Source organism: Homo sapiens, chromosome 5 (assembly GCF_000001405.40).
Source record: "Homo sapiens chromosome 5, GRCh38.p14 Primary Assembly".
Taxonomy (NCBI): Eukaryota; Metazoa; Chordata; class Mammalia; order Primates; family Hominidae; genus Homo; species Homo sapiens.
In genome coordinates, this window is record NC_000005.10 from 42,688,646 (window position 1) to 42,706,297 (window position 17,652).

At 37.6% G+C, this 17,652-nt stretch overlaps 1 protein-coding gene across 11 annotated transcripts in view; it reads left to right on the plus strand.

Moving 5' to 3' along the window:
* Window positions 1-17,652, plus strand: part of GHR (growth hormone receptor) — a 298,440-nt gene that overhangs the window by 265,207 nt on the left and 15,581 nt on the right. For all 11 annotated transcript variants that reach the window (NM_000163.5, NM_001242460.2, NM_001242400.2 and 8 more), the window contains 3 exons: window positions 245-374; window positions 6,272-6,444; window positions 11,179-11,357. In NM_000163.5, coding sequence (NP_000154.1) covers window positions 245-374; window positions 6,272-6,444; window positions 11,179-11,357 — 482 coding nt within the window. The remainder of the gene's footprint in view (window positions 1-244; window positions 375-6,271; window positions 6,445-11,178; window positions 11,358-17,652) is intronic.

Sequence of the window (17,652 nt, forward strand, 5' to 3'; positions counted from 1 at the left end):
AATGCTTGAAATAAAAGGCAAAATGGTTTGTGTCTAGAATCAAAGGCTGACAATGGCAAGCAACAGGCACTAAAACTATGACCCAGGAAAAATGCTTTTCTGGAAGACATCGGCATTACCTCCTAGACACGGAATACACTGGCTTCATCCCAGTAGTTTCTTCACACACTTTAGATACGTGTCTCATTAGGATCACATATGACTCACCTGATTTCATGCCTTGCCTTTTCTTTTTATTCTGCAGATTCTTCTAAGGAGCCTAAATTCACCAAGTGCCGTTCACCTGAGCGAGAGACTTTTTCATGCCACTGGACAGATGAGGTTCATCATGGTACAAAGAACCTAGGACCCATACAGCTGTTCTATACCAGAAGGTGCCACCATCATGCCTTTCTGATTTTCCTCTCCATGGATGTACCTACTAAAGTACACTGAGTCAGATGTACTGTGGGAATGGAAGTGATTTGTTGTGATTTATGCAATCAATGAATATTCATTCACTCATTTATTGAAAAAAATATTAATCAAGCCCATCCTATGTGCTGAGTACTATTTTAGGCCCTGGAGATATAGCAGTGATTACAAAAGACAAAATCCCTGGTCTCATGGAGATTTCCTTCCAATGCAGGGAGACAGGCAATAAAAATTGAATTAAATGTCAGCTAGTAATATAGGTTATTAAGAAAAATAAAGCCAGAAAGCAGCATATCAGCAGTGTGTGGGAGTTTGTGTATGTGCATGAGAATGTGTGAGAGTGTGTCAAAGTGTGAGTGAGAGCATGTATGGATACACGTGGGCATGTGCATGTGGATGAGAGTGTGTGTAAAAGGCTTGAATGATGCTGAAATGCGTGGTCCTAGGAGGCCTCTCTATTGTGGTGTCCTAGACCAGAGACATAAGTGAAACGGGACAGGCCACGTGAGTATCTGGGGGAAAGGCTATGCAGGCAGAGGAAATTGCAAGTACAAAGTCCCTGAGGCAGTCTTGGCATATTTGAGGGATGAAAAAGGCCAGCACTGAAGGCACAAGATTGAAAGTGAGGAGAGTGATATGGGAAGGGATCAGAGAGTTACTTAGGGACTGACCATGCCAAACCTCATAGGCAAGGGCAAGGCTTTGAATTTTACTTTATTTGTGGTGGAAAGCTGTAGGTGTTTTTGAAAAGATATATGCTTTAAAAGATGTAGCTTTGTTTCTAACCAGATAATACACTCCTTCTCTTAAATATATTCAGTAAAAGACTGTAGTACTTTTTCATTTTTACCAGTGACCCTCTAAAATAACAGAGGAAGGGTGAAACAAAGACCTCTCAATATAGGTACCATCCAAGTTGTTTATTTCTTCCCCTTCACCTGGCATTATTTTCATTTTTGTTTACTCTCACTGTGTATATTTTTCCCTTTTTTACATTTTAGGCTTAAACACTTCATTATCTCCTGTTTTCCACCCAACCCCCAGAGAAGGCCTAAGCCAAGATGCAGGGTTAGTGAGGACCCTTTATCCTTGGCTCAAGGTGTTCGTTAGTCAGAGGATGACATTGTCTATCCAACCGAAGAGCTGGAATAGGGAAGGAAGATGCAGCCAGCAGTTAAGGGTATGAGCTCAGGGCTAACAAACCTGCACTTCAGTGTAGTTCTGCACTTTCTCACCAAGGAATACTAGGGAAATTAGCCAGTTTGTGTACAACTCAGCCTCCTCATTTGCAGAAAGGAGATAATGGACTTGCCTCATGACTTCTTGTGAGGATCATATGAGATAACCCATGAAAAATACTTGGCAGAGTACTTGACACATAATAAGTACTCACTAAATGGTAGCTGGTATTCTTCTTATCGGTAGTATAGTGATAATTTTAAAATAATTATGATATAGAAATCCAGTTCCTGGACTATAAAATGACTATAAATTGTATAAGACCATTTATACCAGTAAATTGTTATAATTATTTTAATTATTGGTATAAGAGCATTTTAATGCAGAGCTGCTGCTTAATTTGCAGATAAAAAAATACTTGGAGTTAGCAACCAAGCAGACCTTCCCCACCTTTCAGTATAAGAGAGGTCTCTTGGATGAAGTGAAGTGAAGATGAAATGTTTGGGCACCAAGTATACTATATTTTTCCTTAAGGCTGACACCACAGAGAGGTTGGGGCCAGTAAACAGAGTTGATTTCTATAAATACATTCAGACATGAAGTTAGTATGTTTGATGACACTTTTGAAATGTGTGGAATCATTAAGTTATTTGTACAGGCACAATTAGCCAAACTGTAAAGAAAAGTAGCAGAATAACCTCTTAAGCTGGGCCCACTTTATGAAAATAATTTTTTGCTACCTCAATATTTACCAAATTTGATGAGCAAAAAGAGAAATCCAAAGGAATGAAGCCTTGATAAATATATATCCCTTGCCCTCATCAATCAGGGTCACATAACTCTGTCCACAGGCATCTTATGCACACTCCAGTCATTTCAGCATCTCTGGTTCAAATCCAGGATCTACACTACCAAGGATGCTGCTGAAAGTGTGACTGGGTAAAGGGAAACGTTCAGACATATTCAGAAAGATGTCTTAGATTTTGCCCTGGTAGTGTTTGGAATCCCAGGAGGGTAAGTACAGCTTCATGATTAAGTGCCAACCCAAACTTACAAAATTAGATATTTGTGTTTTTTCTATAAAATATAACTATTTTGAATATCTTAGCCAAACTACTATGAGCCCACAGCCCAGTTTATCCAAGAAGGATAAAACTGAGGGATTAGGAGTATCAGGACTGGACTGGACTGATTAGTGTACAGTTATATTTGATTTCTCATTGCCCACTTCACAGAGAAGACAATACAAATGCACTTTCTGACTCTTATCACTGTTTCTTAGAACTCAGTTGCCAGGCAACTCCTGAAACTATAGAAACATGCTTCTCATCCCTGACACATAAATAAAACTCTGAGATGATTTTATCCAAAGTCAGAGTCAGTGGGCAGTGCAGTTGTTTCAGTTTGCTGGCCTGGCCTCAGTATCTAAAGCACAACAGAACGTGAACATGTCAGGCTGTCAACAGGACAGTTCAGGCACAGCCCTACAGGCAGTTGTGTGTTTTGCCTGGCTCTGCTCCTTGCCAGGTGGCTGGCAGAAAAGGCAGCCTCCACATGTTAGAGCAGCAGATTCAAAACAGTGTCTGCCATCCTGTGATGACGATAGTGCCAAATTCAGCCTCTGAGCTTGCAGGGGACTCAGGATGAATGCACATTACAGGCATGGTAAAAAGAGGCTCTGGGAAGCATGTTCGAGCTGCTCTGCTCTCAGCTCCTTGCATGTAAATGCTGTGTTTTTAAAGGAAGTGGGCATGTGAACACTCAGTCCTTAAGGCTGTATCCCCCACCTCTTCCATACCCATTCAACCCCACTTCAAAAATTACCCTGGTCTTAAGAGAAATTTCATTTTCTATACAAGGTTGTGTGGAAAATCAGTAGGGAGAAAGGGCATTATTACTTTCATTTTTCTTTAACAAAAGTATTAAATTTAAAGCCAAAAACGTGCGCTTTCTGTCATGAAAACAGCTGCCCTTAAAAACATAAATGATGTTTTATTTTTATTACTTTTATCTAGTTGGTTGTCTTTAGATGAAAAACATTTCTTCTGCTCTTTATTCTTATTTTTAATGATAGTCTCTTTCTATGGTTCTCACCCCTTCCATTTCACAAGATAGTCTGGGAGCAAACCTAAAGCACTTAACTTTTGGGAGTAAGAGCAGAGGGGAGCTTCCATACATTGATTTTGGTCATCTGTAGAGACATTCAACCCAGAGAAGGCAAGTGACACAGTATCTGTTTTATGAGCTAATTTGGGTTCTTGTCTACATTTAATAGTTTAAAATATAAGTTATAAATATTTATTTAAAATGAAATTCAACATTGGTTCATGAAGAAAGAGGTTGGAAGTAGTGTTTTGAACTAGCTGTTTCTGATCCATCATGCTTAAAATAAATGCTCTGTTTGTCCTGTGGAGTTCATGGATTTGGGATAATCTAAACAGGGTTTTTTAAACAGTCCTCATGGGGAACAAGGTACTGACATGCACTGTTGAGAAATTCTGTGAATCATGAAAGAGCTAATCTTTTAGAAATCCAGACCTGTTAAGCACTAATCTACATCTTTGGAATATCTTAATACTTTGAGTTTTCTAACTTTTATACTATCACTTATGCTAAGTACATTTGATATCCCTTCTATTATGTGAAAGCCTCATTTTCTGGGCAATTTTCTTACAACTACTCTCTTTAATGCACTCTTACTTAATTTGAAAGTAAATATCAAATTAAGCATACTATAGTTCAATGAACCACCCACCTATTCCTAATTTTTTTAACATTTCTCTTCTGACTCTACATACACACATACTTACACACACACACACAAACACACCTTATCTTTTCTTCTGCCTTTTGCCCATTTACTTTTTGCATCAGAGATGAATCTCTCATTCAAGCATATGCAACTTTTTTTTTTTTTGAGATGGAGTCTTGCTTTGGCACCCAGGCTGGAGTGCAGTGGCTCGATCTTGGCTTACTGCAAACTTTGCCTCCTGCGTTCAAGCAATTCTCCTGCCTCAGCCTACCTACCGAATAGCTGGGATTACAGAAGCATGCCATCATGCCCAGCTAATTTTTGTATTTTTAGTACAGATGGGGTTTTACCATGTTAGCCAGGCTGGTCTCAATCTCCTAACCCATGATCCGCCTGCCTCAGCCTCCGAAAGTGCTGGGATTACAGGCATGAACCACCGTACCCAGCCAGCATATGCAACTTTTAAGAGTCTCAACCAAAGCAGCAATTCACTGTCTCAGACCCTGGAGTCTCTGCCATTTAAATCCCAATTTCCTTCCAACAGCTGAGGAGCAGCTGTCTCAAGGACCCTCTGATACTACACAAGTTTTCTCCTAGTGCCAAGCAGACCAGCCTGAGAAACAGCTATAAGAAGGAAATAGGCGTCTTCTCCCAGCTTGGCATCCTTTCCTTCCAGGCCCTGCCTTCCCTACAACCTGCATTGTCTTCATTGTCCACTGCTGCCCAGCACCCATCCCACAGAGGGATGGTCCCAAACCTCCACAGTCTGGCCTGTGAGCCACAGGCGCCTCTGCCTGCACAGGGCCATTCCTACCTCATCTTCCACAACCACAGATTACATGGTTTTATGTCCCTTTGACTTATATATTGTCTTCTCAATTAATAGGCTAGTGAATAACATGGAGATGATGAACTACCTCACCCAAGTAGCAATTCTAATTTAAGAAAATTTTCCTGTCATTCCATTGCCTTTTACTTCCATTACCACACTCATGCCCATACTTCCTTACCTCAATCCCTTTGACCTCTCTGTTTATTCCCTTCCTTGCCGTATTGCCATCTATTAAACTTTTACCCATCCTTCAAGAATGCTAAAAACATACCTCCACCTTGAAGCCTTCCATGAAGAGCCAGAGCAATCATTCCCTCTTCTGAACTTTTAAGGACCCTAGAGAGCACTACTAATGAGCACTTACCCACATTGCTTTGTAATATGGTTTTTTACTCTTTCCTTCTGAGGCAGGAGGAATTCCTTAGACATCTATGAATCCCATAGTGTCTGTCATTATGTTTTAGACATAACCAATTCTCATTAAATGTCAATAGAATGAATATAAGAGGCCCAAAAAACTACTCAGATGGGAATTTGAGTCTTATTTTAGCCTGAAATTAGGGGACCACATCTTACTTATCTTTATATCTGCACAGCGTTGGTGCTGGATATAATGCATCACTCTGCCTGGAGCACACATCAACTTGTCTCCTCAGTTTCTTTCACCATAGGCTGGTGAAACAGCCAGGTCTAAACCTTCACTGTTCTCTGGGAATCTCTAGTTTGGGGGTGATTCTCTGTACTGTTTTAATGAACATTTTTAAAATGTCCCTAAGTCTCAGAACCTTCATCTATACAACTGGCATAATAAAGTACCTACCATAGGAATCGATTTATGAGCAGGCATAGCATATTCATTCAATAAACGGAAGTTTTACCATAGGCAGAAGTACCAAACGGCCTCGTAGCAGTCGTCAGACACTGATGATACTGTCCACTGATGTGATATGTCTCGGAAATGATGTTACTAAAATACCTCTTCACAAAATATTTGTCTTCCAATTTATTGAATCAGACTATCAAGCACCTTACTTGGACTTAAGCTACAACATGATTTTTGGAACAATTAATCTTTTTTTAACCCTTCATTTTAGGAACACTCAAGAATGGACTCAAGAATGGAAAGAATGCCCTGATTATGTTTCTGCTGGGGAAAACAGCTGTTACTTTAATTCATCGTTTACCTCCATCTGGATACCTTATTGTATCAAGCTAACTAGCAATGGTGGTACAGTGGATGAAAAGTGTTTCTCTGTTGATGAAATAGGTAAATCACAGGTTTTTGTTTCATTTGACATAGTTTTAGACTAAATAAATGGGGAAGCCTGCAAGGTCCAAGTATAATCAAGTAGGAAGACTTTGTAACAGTGTTCTATAGATACATGGAGATCTGTTTTACAGGAGATGGGATCAGCTGGTGAACAAGAGGAAAAGGGCAGGGGGAACTTAAGTTGACTTTAACATAAAGTAGCCTGGCAGTAAATGTTGTGAAGAAGAGAATAGGAACCTTGTGGAGTCTTTTCCTTTAGGATATCTTTGAAGCTGCGTTGTGTTTTTATGTTCCACTGCAAAGGGTGAACTTAATATATTCTTAGGATTTCTTACTTCCTAATTATTTGATAGGATCCTTATATTCAAATTCACTGAAATACGTTGGCCTTTGACCTCTACCATTGCTGTAATCAAAGCCTAGATTTTCTTTATCACAAAGCATAATCATTCTGGAATTTTACATTTACAAAACAGCCACAGTTACTTTAAAGACATGTTTATTAGATCTCAGAACAAATACTGGAGACAATCAGCTCAGTGAACTAAGTGAAAGATCCAAACAGAGGATCCTTTGCCCATCATATGGACACAAGGTGGAAACAAAACAAATAAAACAAACAATTGTAATTAGAATAGTCATGTTTATACCTTAATAGTATAAATAGCAAAATAGAAAGAATCAAAGAAGGACTTTGAGTAGCTGAAATTAGTGCCTCAAAATCTATCCACAAAAGCTCATTTGTTGCTTATAGGAATTTCTCGTTGCTTCTCCCAAATGTATTGTTCTTTTTATGTGGTTTTCTAGGCATAAGCTGACTGGAAGACATAGGAGTATGTGGCTAGAACTTACAGATAGAAACAAATAAAATCTAATAGGCTGACTTTAAGGGAGAAGATTAAGAGAACTGTATCAAGCAGTAAAGATAACCCAATTGCTTTGCAAAGACAATTTAGTATGTGTCCTAACATCACTGGGTATAGCTGTTGAGTTGAAACTAAATGGGATAGCAGAATGGGATAGTAGCAAGAACACTGGGTTAAAACCCATGTTCTAGCCCTGTTCTCTGCCAATAGCCAGTCCTACTCATTTACCTGGCTGACATGCCTGTCATGTGTCACGCACTGTTCTGGTGGTGGTGGTTATAGAATAAGTACAATACAGTCAAAGAGGGAAGTCAGGCATGTTCACAAATAATTGCAGTGCAGCGTGATAGGTGTTAGCCTGGAAATACGTGGAATGCAGAGCTGCAAAGGTGGTGGCCAAAGGCGTGAATGACTGACAGGCCTGAGGGATGAGGAAGGGCTGCACAGAGATGGTGACAGTTTAGTTACCTCTGAACTGGAATTGGACTCTCCCTATTTTTAAAAAAGTGATGACCCACAGTGGTCAAAAGCATGAGTGAGTATTGTCAGGTACCACAGTGGACTTGCCTTTCAGTAACTACTAAGTTCCAACAGTAACTTAGTAGTTACTTAGTAATTACAACAGTAACTTAGTAGTCCCAACATGTTCAGGGACTCAGGAGCAGTTAGGAAGCCCTCCTAGTCAGCTGGAGAAATCATCAGTAGTTGTTTGTGCCCCAAAAAGGAATTTGGACTTTAACTGTCACGAGGTACCTTTGAGGATGTTTAAATAGGGAAATTACTTGAGGATACTAATAGTTAACAGTCACAAAAGTCTTACCATGTGTCAGGTATAAAAACCATCTTTTGCAATCACACTTTACAGATAATGAAACCGAGGCACAGAGCAGTTAAAGGACTAGTTCAAGTCAAACAGCTAGTAGATAGAGCTGGGATTTGAACCTCCAGCCTCCATGCTCTTACTCTTGAGGCTTTGCAGTACCACTTGTCTCTTTATTAATGCTCAGAGAAATTAATCTTGTTGCAATGTGAAACGTAGATTGGAGTGGGACGGACTAGAGGTAGAAGAGGTTAAAAGACTGAGATGATCAAGGTAAAAGATTATGACAGGTAGCTACAACTAGCACAATAGTTGTGGGGCAAGGTGCTGAGAGTGAAAGAGAACAAAGAACTAATGTAACCCTGGTAGATCTTGAGAAAGTTGTCAATCATTATAAGCCTCAGCTTCCTCATAAAATATGTATGTATGGTACTACCTCACAGGGCTATTCTTTGGATTTGAAGTACTATATTAGTTAGACATTTGTCATTCATTCAATTCATTCAGCAAATATTTATTATGCTCTTCTCTCAGGCCAGTCAATGTTCTCCATGCTGGGGATAGAAACTGTCTTCCCTGGTGGGATTTAATCCCAACGAGGATGGAAAGCGACAATGCTATGGAGAAATATAGGAAAGGAGAATAGGAGTGTTGGAGAGGTTGCAGTGTTGAGTTTTCAGGATTGGCATCCCTGAGGCAGTGGCATTTGAATAAAGAAGGATTGGAGAGGATAATTATGTGTGTGTCTCAGGGAAGGGCATTTCAGCAAGGGGGCACGCCAGAAGAAAGATCTCAAAGTAGGAGCATGCTTTTCCTCACTCAATGAACAGCAGGCCGGCGGTGGAGTGGGCACAGAGTGAGCGAGGAGACTGGTATGAGACCAAATCGCACAGACAAGACAGTCAAATCTACCCAACCATTGCCAAAGACTTTGGCTTTCACTTGGAGTGAGGTAGGCAGCCTTTGGAGGGTTTTAGATGATGAGCGATGTGATCTAACGTAAGTGTTAGGATAATCACTGTGTCAGTTCGCTTGAGGATTGCATGGAGAATAGACTGGAGGGGGACAAAGACCAAAGGGGTACAGTGGGGAGACAAATGAAGCAAGAAGAATGAAAAAGGATAATGGCCAGGACCAGGTTATTAGTGGTGCAGGCGGTGGGACATGGTTGGATTCTGTTATATCTTGAAAGTACAGCTGACGGAATGTGGATTAGTGAGGAAAAGATGAGCCAAGGACAAGTTCATTGTTTTTATCCTGAGCAACTAGAGGAATTGAGTCCTCGTTAACAGAGATGGAAAAGAGGAAAGGAGAGCAGGTTTTGGAGAGGAAGAGCAAGGGTTTGTTTGGGGATATATTAAGTTTCAGATATTTTTTAAATATCTCACAGGAGTTGTCAATATAGCATGTAGATTTATGTATAGAGATAAAGGAGAGGTCATTATTATGCCTGTAATGGTATCTCACAGGAGGTCATTGTTATGCCTGTAATGGTGGTACCAAATCTTTTCCAAAAGGACCTTGTCTCATATCCTCTATTTTTCAAATGCAGCATAAGTAATGAGTTATAGAAAATCTTCCATTAAAAACAATTTTATAGTTTGGTCACTTTAAACGGTTAAGCTTTGATTATCAGGATTCCTGAATCTCCAACAAATCCAGAAGGGTGAGGAATTATTGCCATTATATCGGCATATGTAGTTTGGCCATTTTGCATATCCTTCCAATTTAATTTTCAAAATGTAGTCATGATTCATCAAATTTTGACTCTCCCTGTTTTTAAAAAGGTGGTGTCGACCCCACAGAGGGCAACAGCATGCTCCTCCACCATAAGGCCTGTTTTCACTGTGGGTGCACACAAGAGCTTCCCTCTTTGGCCAACAGATTTGACAGCCAGTAAGAGCTCCTCACTGTGTATATCTGTAAAGTTATCTCCAGTCAACGCTAGGGATGCACACTCTGCAACACTCTAGGTGGCCTTCTGTATATATGGCAGAAAAAGAAAGTAAATTTTACTCTGTATCTGCAAGTGATTTTCAAAACCCTCAGTAATGAGATCCAACTAGCAAAAATTTACCAGGAACTCTCTAGAATATAAATTTAGACATAGTTCCTAGCTTTGGAATCCATATTTTTCTTCATCAGCCTCTGAGAAATTGTGGTCTTTGAGGTCCTACTAAGCAGAATGCAACAAATTTTCGTGGAACTGTAGAGTATATCAATAGAACCTGAGGAAAACAATGTTTCAAGTTGTTCATGTGACAGTCAAAAAGACAGAAAACACTGAATTGTCACCATTTGTGAGACTAGCATAATGCTTTCTTCCTTCTTATGTCAGAAGAAAATATCACATGTGGCTAGGAAGATCACAAAGCTAGGGAGCATTAGCAGAGTGTGCAGGAAGATTGTATGAGAAGATTGAAGAAGAGTAAAAAAGGATAATGGCTAGGACCAGGTTATAGTGGTGCAGGCGGTGAGATATGGTTGGATTCTGTTATATCTTGAAAGTACAGCTGACGGAATCTGACGGAATATGGATTAGTGAGGCAAAGATGAGTCAGGGAACAACACAGAAATGAGGTAAACAGGGTCTCTGCCCCCAGGCCATACATAGTTGCAAGAAAAAAGGTTTCTCTACCCCTAGTTCCGAAGCAGCCCCATGTCTAAATTCTGTAAGTCTTTCTGACTCTCTGTTTTTTCAGTTTCAAGTGAAAATAAATTCCTTTGCCAAAATCCTGATGCATTTATGATATCAGAGCAAAAAGAAATATACAACATGGCAGATCTTGTAAATAGTGATCAGATGTTTTACTCCAAAAGGAATTTTTGTAAGGGCTTATTTAGAAGTTAAAAACAAGTCATCCTTGAGTTAAAAAAAAAAGTTACTCTCTTATAAAGTGAAAGTTATAATAAGAAAAATATTGGAAGAAATAAGAGCATGAATGATCAAAAATGTAGAAAGTAATTTGGTCTTCTGAGAAGAATGCCTTCCATTAATATTAAATTGTGTCTGTCTGTGTACTAATGCTCTGTTGAATTGCACAGTGCAACCAGATCCACCCATTGCCCTCAACTGGACTTTACTGAACGTCAGTTTAACTGGGATTCATGCAGATATCCAAGTGAGATGGGAAGCACCACGCAATGCAGATATTCAGAAAGGATGGATGGTTCTGGAGTATGAACTTCAATACAAAGAAGTAAATGAAACTAAATGGAAAATGGTAAGATGTTGCTACACCTTACACTTTGACTTTTCTTTCTATTTCAACAAACTCTCTCTCATTTATCATTAGACTTTCCTTTGACCTAATACCACATGTTCATGCTGTATGCTCCATAATTTCTTAATTGAGAAAACATTATTTAACCGGTAAAATATTGTCTTGAAATTCTGTAAGACAGGAGATGCTTATGTATATATGGAGGCCTGTGGAAGGAAAGGAAAACTATTTCTCCATTCATTCTTGCTGTCCAGTTTAACTTTAGAGCAAAATTATAGACTGGCCACTTAGCTGTCTTTGGGGATGTGGATAAAAATGGGAAAGTTTGTGATCCAGTCAACAGTGACTATGGCCAAATATTTTCCCATGATTTCAGTTGCTGCTACTCAAAGGACTCCCACTAAAACAAATTCATACGTGTCTATAGGAAAACAGAGGGAGGGAATTTGTCTCTTAGAGGTTTCAGAAGGATGTTTTGTTACATACCTCAGAGAAGAATCAAGCTGAGATTCTTATGTAGGCAATTAGAGAGCATGGTACCAGTTGACCTCTGAATCCCTCTCTTCCTTACCAAGCATATGGAACTCAGCATTTTGATAAATTTCACATGGCACATAACAAGAGGAAAAACAGGAGTATCATGCTGCTCCCAATATAACTAATTCTAAATCTGTCTAACCACAGCCACAGCCACAGCCACAGCCAAGCCAAGCAGTTTCTGGCCACTCATCAGGTGATGCCCAGCAGCCTGGCACAGATCACTCCCAGAATTTTGAGACACCAGGACATTCAGTGAGCCACTGAAAAAGATGCCAATTTTGTCATTAGAGGAAAGTTAAGTTTGGAGGAAATTTGAGTAGTTACAATACTGGGCTTTGAGGCTCTATTTTCTGAATCATTTTAATTTAGATATCTGTTCTGTAACTTGGTACAAATAAAATGCCTGATTGGATGCTAAGTCAAACAAGACTGTCTAAATCCAAGCTACAATCAAACATTATTTAACAACAGGTACTGAAATAACTACTATGCAGAAGGCACTGTGCTAAATGCCTGAGGTGGCGGTTCTCAAAGTGGGAGCCACAGACCCTTGAGGGTCCCTGAGACCCTTTCAGGGAGTTCAGTACTATTTTCACAATACACTAAAATATTATTTTATTAACTATGTTGAAATTTAACTTAATGGCACAAAAGCAATGCTGGAAACACTGCTGGCACCTTAGCATGAAGCAAGGCAGTAGGATCAAATTTTACTAATAGTCATGCACTCCCAATGAAGAAGGAAGAAAAAGCCAGTTTCACGTTTGAAGTTCTTGATGAAGCTGTAAAAATTGTTAATTTTACTAAACCTCGACCTTTGAGTACATAGCTTATTAATATTCTGTGTGACATATGGGAATTACACATTAAGCATGTCTGCTGCGTACTGAGGTATTGTATTTGTCTTGAAGAAAAGCGCTTAAATGACTGAGTTGCCAGCTGAACTAGTTGCTTTTATTGCTTGGAGCACCATTTTTACTTGGAAGAGCCATTGATAAACTGGCAGATGGTTATTCATATTTGAATTGGCAAACATTTGTCAAAAAAGAATGAGGCAAGCTTGTCGCTTCAAGAAAAACAACTGACAGTATTTTTTGCAATGGAAAAAATTTGACTTTTCAAAGCAATTCATTTTGCCTTTTTCGAAAATTTGTGTCTCCAACCGTGAGCTTGATAGTGTTTTAATATTTGAAGACTTTTCTTGAAGAGATTGATGGTGATATTAATGAAAGTGACTTTTTAATTATATTGTGTAATAAAATGTATGAACATTTAGAAAAATCTACAACTCAGTTAACCAATATTTTCCAAATTACTAATACATGATGTAATCAAATCATGCATGGGGAAATGATCCATTCAAAGTACTAGATAGAATCGTGAATTTTTTTAATGATCAAAAATTTTTTTGTATATTTATTGTGTACAACATATTTTTTTGAAATATGGATACATTGTAGAATGGTTCTATCACACTAAGTAACATATGCATTACCACACATACCTTTTTTTGTGTGTTGAGAACACTTAAAATCTACTCAGAGATTTTCAAAATACAATACATAAGCATTAACTATAGTCACCATTTTGCACAATAGATTTCTTAAACTCATTCCTACTAACTGAAAATTTTAATTCTTTCATCAATATCTCCTTAACTCTGCACCCTGCCCACAACCCCTGATAACCACCATTCAACTCTCTGCTTCTGAGTTCAACTTTTTTAGATTCTGCATATAAGTGAGATTATGTGGTATTTGTTTTTCTGTCTCTGGATCATTTTTCTTAATATAATATCCTCCAGGTTCATCCACATTGTCACAAGTGACAGGATATCCTTCTTTTTTTAAGGCTGATAGCATTCCATTGTATATACCTACCACATTTTCTTTATCCACTTATCCATTAATGGAACATAGGTCGATTCTATTTCTTGGCTGTTATAAGTAATGAACATGGGAGCCCAGATATTCTGGCTCAACATACTGATTTCATTTTCCTTGGATATATACTTAGTAGTGGAATAATATAATGGATCACATGGTAGTTCTATTTTTAATCTTTTGAGGAAGCTTCATATTATTTTCCATAGAGGGTATACTAATTTACACTCCCACCAATAGTGTGCAAGGGTTCCCTTTTGTCCACATTCTCACCAACACTTGTTATCTCTTCTTTTTTTGAAAATAGCCATCCTAACATCTTTGTGCACTCTATGCCTTCTGTGAGCTGATAGCTCATTGTGGTTTAAATTTACATTTCCCTGATGATTAAAGATGTCAAGCATTTTTCATATACCTGTTGGCCATTTCTATATCTTCTTTTTAAAAATTTATATTCAGGTCCTTTGCCCATTTTTTAATTGGGTTATTTTCTTGTTATTGAATTGTTTTAGTTCCTTATATATTTCAGATAGTAACTTCTTATCAGATGTATGCAAATATTGTCTCCCATTCCATAGAGTGTCTTTTTACTCTGTTGATTGTTTCCTTGGCAGTGCAGAAGCTTTTTAGTTTCATGTAATCCCGTTTATCTATTTCCACTTTTGTTGCCTGTTCCCAATGGAGTCATATCCAAAAAATCATTGCCCAAACCAATGTCATGGAGCTTTTTCCTATATTTTCTTCCAGTAGTTGTACAGTTTCAGGTTTTACATTTAAGTCTTTAATCGATTTTGAGTTTATTTTTGTATATGAGGTAAAATAAGGGTATAATTTCATTCTTCTGCATATGGATGTCCAATTTTCCCAACAACATTTAAAGACAGAGTCCTTTCCTTACTGTGTATTCTTAGCACCTTTGTGATAAATCAATTTACTGTAAATGTGTGGATTTATTTCCGAACACTTTATTCTTTTACATTGGTTTATGTCATTTTTATGCCAGTACCATGCTGTTTTGATGACTATAGCTTTGTATTATGTTTTGAGGTTGGTAGAGTGATGATTTCATCCTTGTTCTTCTTGTTCAAGATTGCTTTGGCTATTCATAGTCTATTGCAGTTGCATACAAATTTTAGAATTGCTTTTTCTATTTCTGTGAAAAATGACATTGGAATTTTGATAAGGATTGCATTGAATCTGTAGATTGCTTTAGGTAGCAGGGACATTCGAACAATATTAATTCTTCTAATCCATGAACATGGGCTATCTGTTCATTTATTTGTGTTGTCTTCATGTTTTACAGTTTTCAGTGTTCAGATCTTTCACCTTTTTGTTTAAATTTATTTCTAGGTCTTTTATTTTATTTTTATTTTTATAGATATTGTGAAAGGGATTTCTTTATTTCTTTCTCAGATTGTTCCTTATTAGTGTATAGAAATGTTACTGATTTTTGTATGTTGACTTTGTATCCTGCAGCTTTACTGAATTTGTTTATCTGTTCTAGCAATTTTTTGTTGAAGTCTTTAGGGTTTTCTATATATAAAATCATGTCATCTGTAAGCAAGGACAATTTAACTTTTTCCTTCTCAATTTTGGATGCCTTTTATTTCTCTCTTTTGCTTAATTGCTCTGACTAGGATTTTGAATCGAGTAGAATAGAGTAGAGGAGTTACATTGAATAAAAATGGCAAGAGTAGGCATCTTTGTCTTGTTCCTCATCTTAGAAGAAAAGCTTTCCACATTTCACTGTTTATTATGATGTGAGTTTGTTATATATGGCCTTTATTGTGTTGAAATACATTCCTTCTATATCTAATTGTTAAGGGTTTTTATCATGAAAGGATATTGAATTTTGACAAGTGCTTCTTCTGTATCTGTTGAGATGGTTCCATGGTTTTCGTCTCGGTTCTGTTAAAGTGATGTATTATGTTTATGTATTTGTGTGTGATGAACCATCCTTGCATCCCTGGAATAAATCCTACTTGATCATGGAGAATGTTCCTTTTAGTGTGCTTTTGAGTTAGTTTCCTAGTATTTTGTTTAAGATTTTTACATCTGTATTTATCAGAGATATTAGCCCATAATTTTCTTTTCTTGTAGTGTCCTTTCATGGTTTGGGTATAAGGGTAATGCTAGCATCAAGAAATAGTTTGGTAGTATCCCCTTTTCTTCCACTTTTTGGAAAAGTTTGAGAAGGATTGGTGTTCCGGTGAAGCTTCCAGTGAAACTGTCAGGTCCTGGACTTCTCTTTGATGACAGACTTTTTATTACTGATTCAATCTCCTTACTTATTATTGGTTTATTAGATTTTCTATTTCTTCAAGAAAGTCTTAGTAGGTTGTTGTGTGTAGGAATTTATTCATTTCTCATGCATATAATTTTTCAGAATGGTCTCTTATGAACATTTGTATTTCTATGGTATTGGTTGTAATGTCTCCTCCTTCATTTCTGATTTTGTTTTTAATTTGGGCTTTCTCTTTTTTTATTATTTAGTCTAGCTAAAGATTGGTTGATTTTGTTTATCTTTTCAAAAAAACTTGTTTCATTAATCTTTTCTACTGTTTTAATGTGCTAACTGAAAAGCACATTAAAAGGATCATTCTCCATGATCAAGTAGGATTTATCCCAGGGATGCAAGGATGGTTCATCACACGCAAATACATAAACATAATACATCACATTACTAGAACCAAAAACAAAATTATGGAACCATCTCAATATTTTCTATTCTCTATTTCATTTATTTCTGTTCTGATCTTTATTATTTCCTTCCTTCTATGAACTTTATGCTTAGTTTATTCTTTTTCTGGTTTCTTCAGGTAAAATGTTAGGTTATTCATTTGAGATCTTTGTTTTCTGATGGAGGCATTTATTGCCATGAACTTCCATTGCTCTTAGAACGACTTTTACTGCATTCCTTAAGGTTTGCTATGTTGTTTCCATTTTTGTCTCAAGATATTTTTGATTTTATTTTTTACTTTTTAACTATTTTTTTAGGTTCAGAGATACATGTGCACGTTTGTTATATAGGTAAATTGCATGTCACAGGGGTTTACCATACAGATTATTTCATCACCAGGTAATAAGCATAGTACCCAGAAGGTAGTTTTTTGATCTTCACCTTCCTTCCACCCACTACCCTCCAGTAGGCCCCAGTATCTGTGGTTTCAGTCTTCGTGTCCATGTGTTCTCAATGTTTAGCTCCTACTAATAAGTGAGAATATGTGGTATTTGTTTTCCTGTTCATGCATTAGTGTGCTTAGCATAATGGCCTCCAGCTCCATCCATGTGACTGCAGAGGACATGATCTTGTTCCTTTTTACGCCTGAGCAGTATTCCATGGTGTACATATACCACATTTCCTTTATCCAGTGTACCATTTTCTTTATTCCATGTCTTTGCTATTGTGAATAGTGCTATGATGAACACACGCATGCATGTGTCTTTATGGTAAAATGGTTTATATTCCTTCAGGTATATACCCAATAACGGGACTGCTGGGTCAAATGACAATTCTCTTTTAAGTTCTTTGAGAAGTTGCTAAACTGCTTGCCACAATGGCTGAACTAATTTGAATTATTACCAGCAGGATATAAGTGTTCCCTTTTCTTTGCAACCTCACCAGCATCTGTTATTTTTTGACTTTTTGATAATAGCCTTTCTGACTGCTGTGATGTAGTATCTCATTATGGTTTTGATATGCCTTTCTCTCTAATTATTAGTAATGTTGAGCATTTTTTCTTACACTTGTTGGCTCATGTTTGTGTTCTTTTGAAAAGTGTCTGTTTATGCCTTTTGTCCATTTTTTAATGGGACTGTTTGTTTTTGGCTTGTTGATTTAAAGTTCCTTATAGATTCTGGATATTAGACAT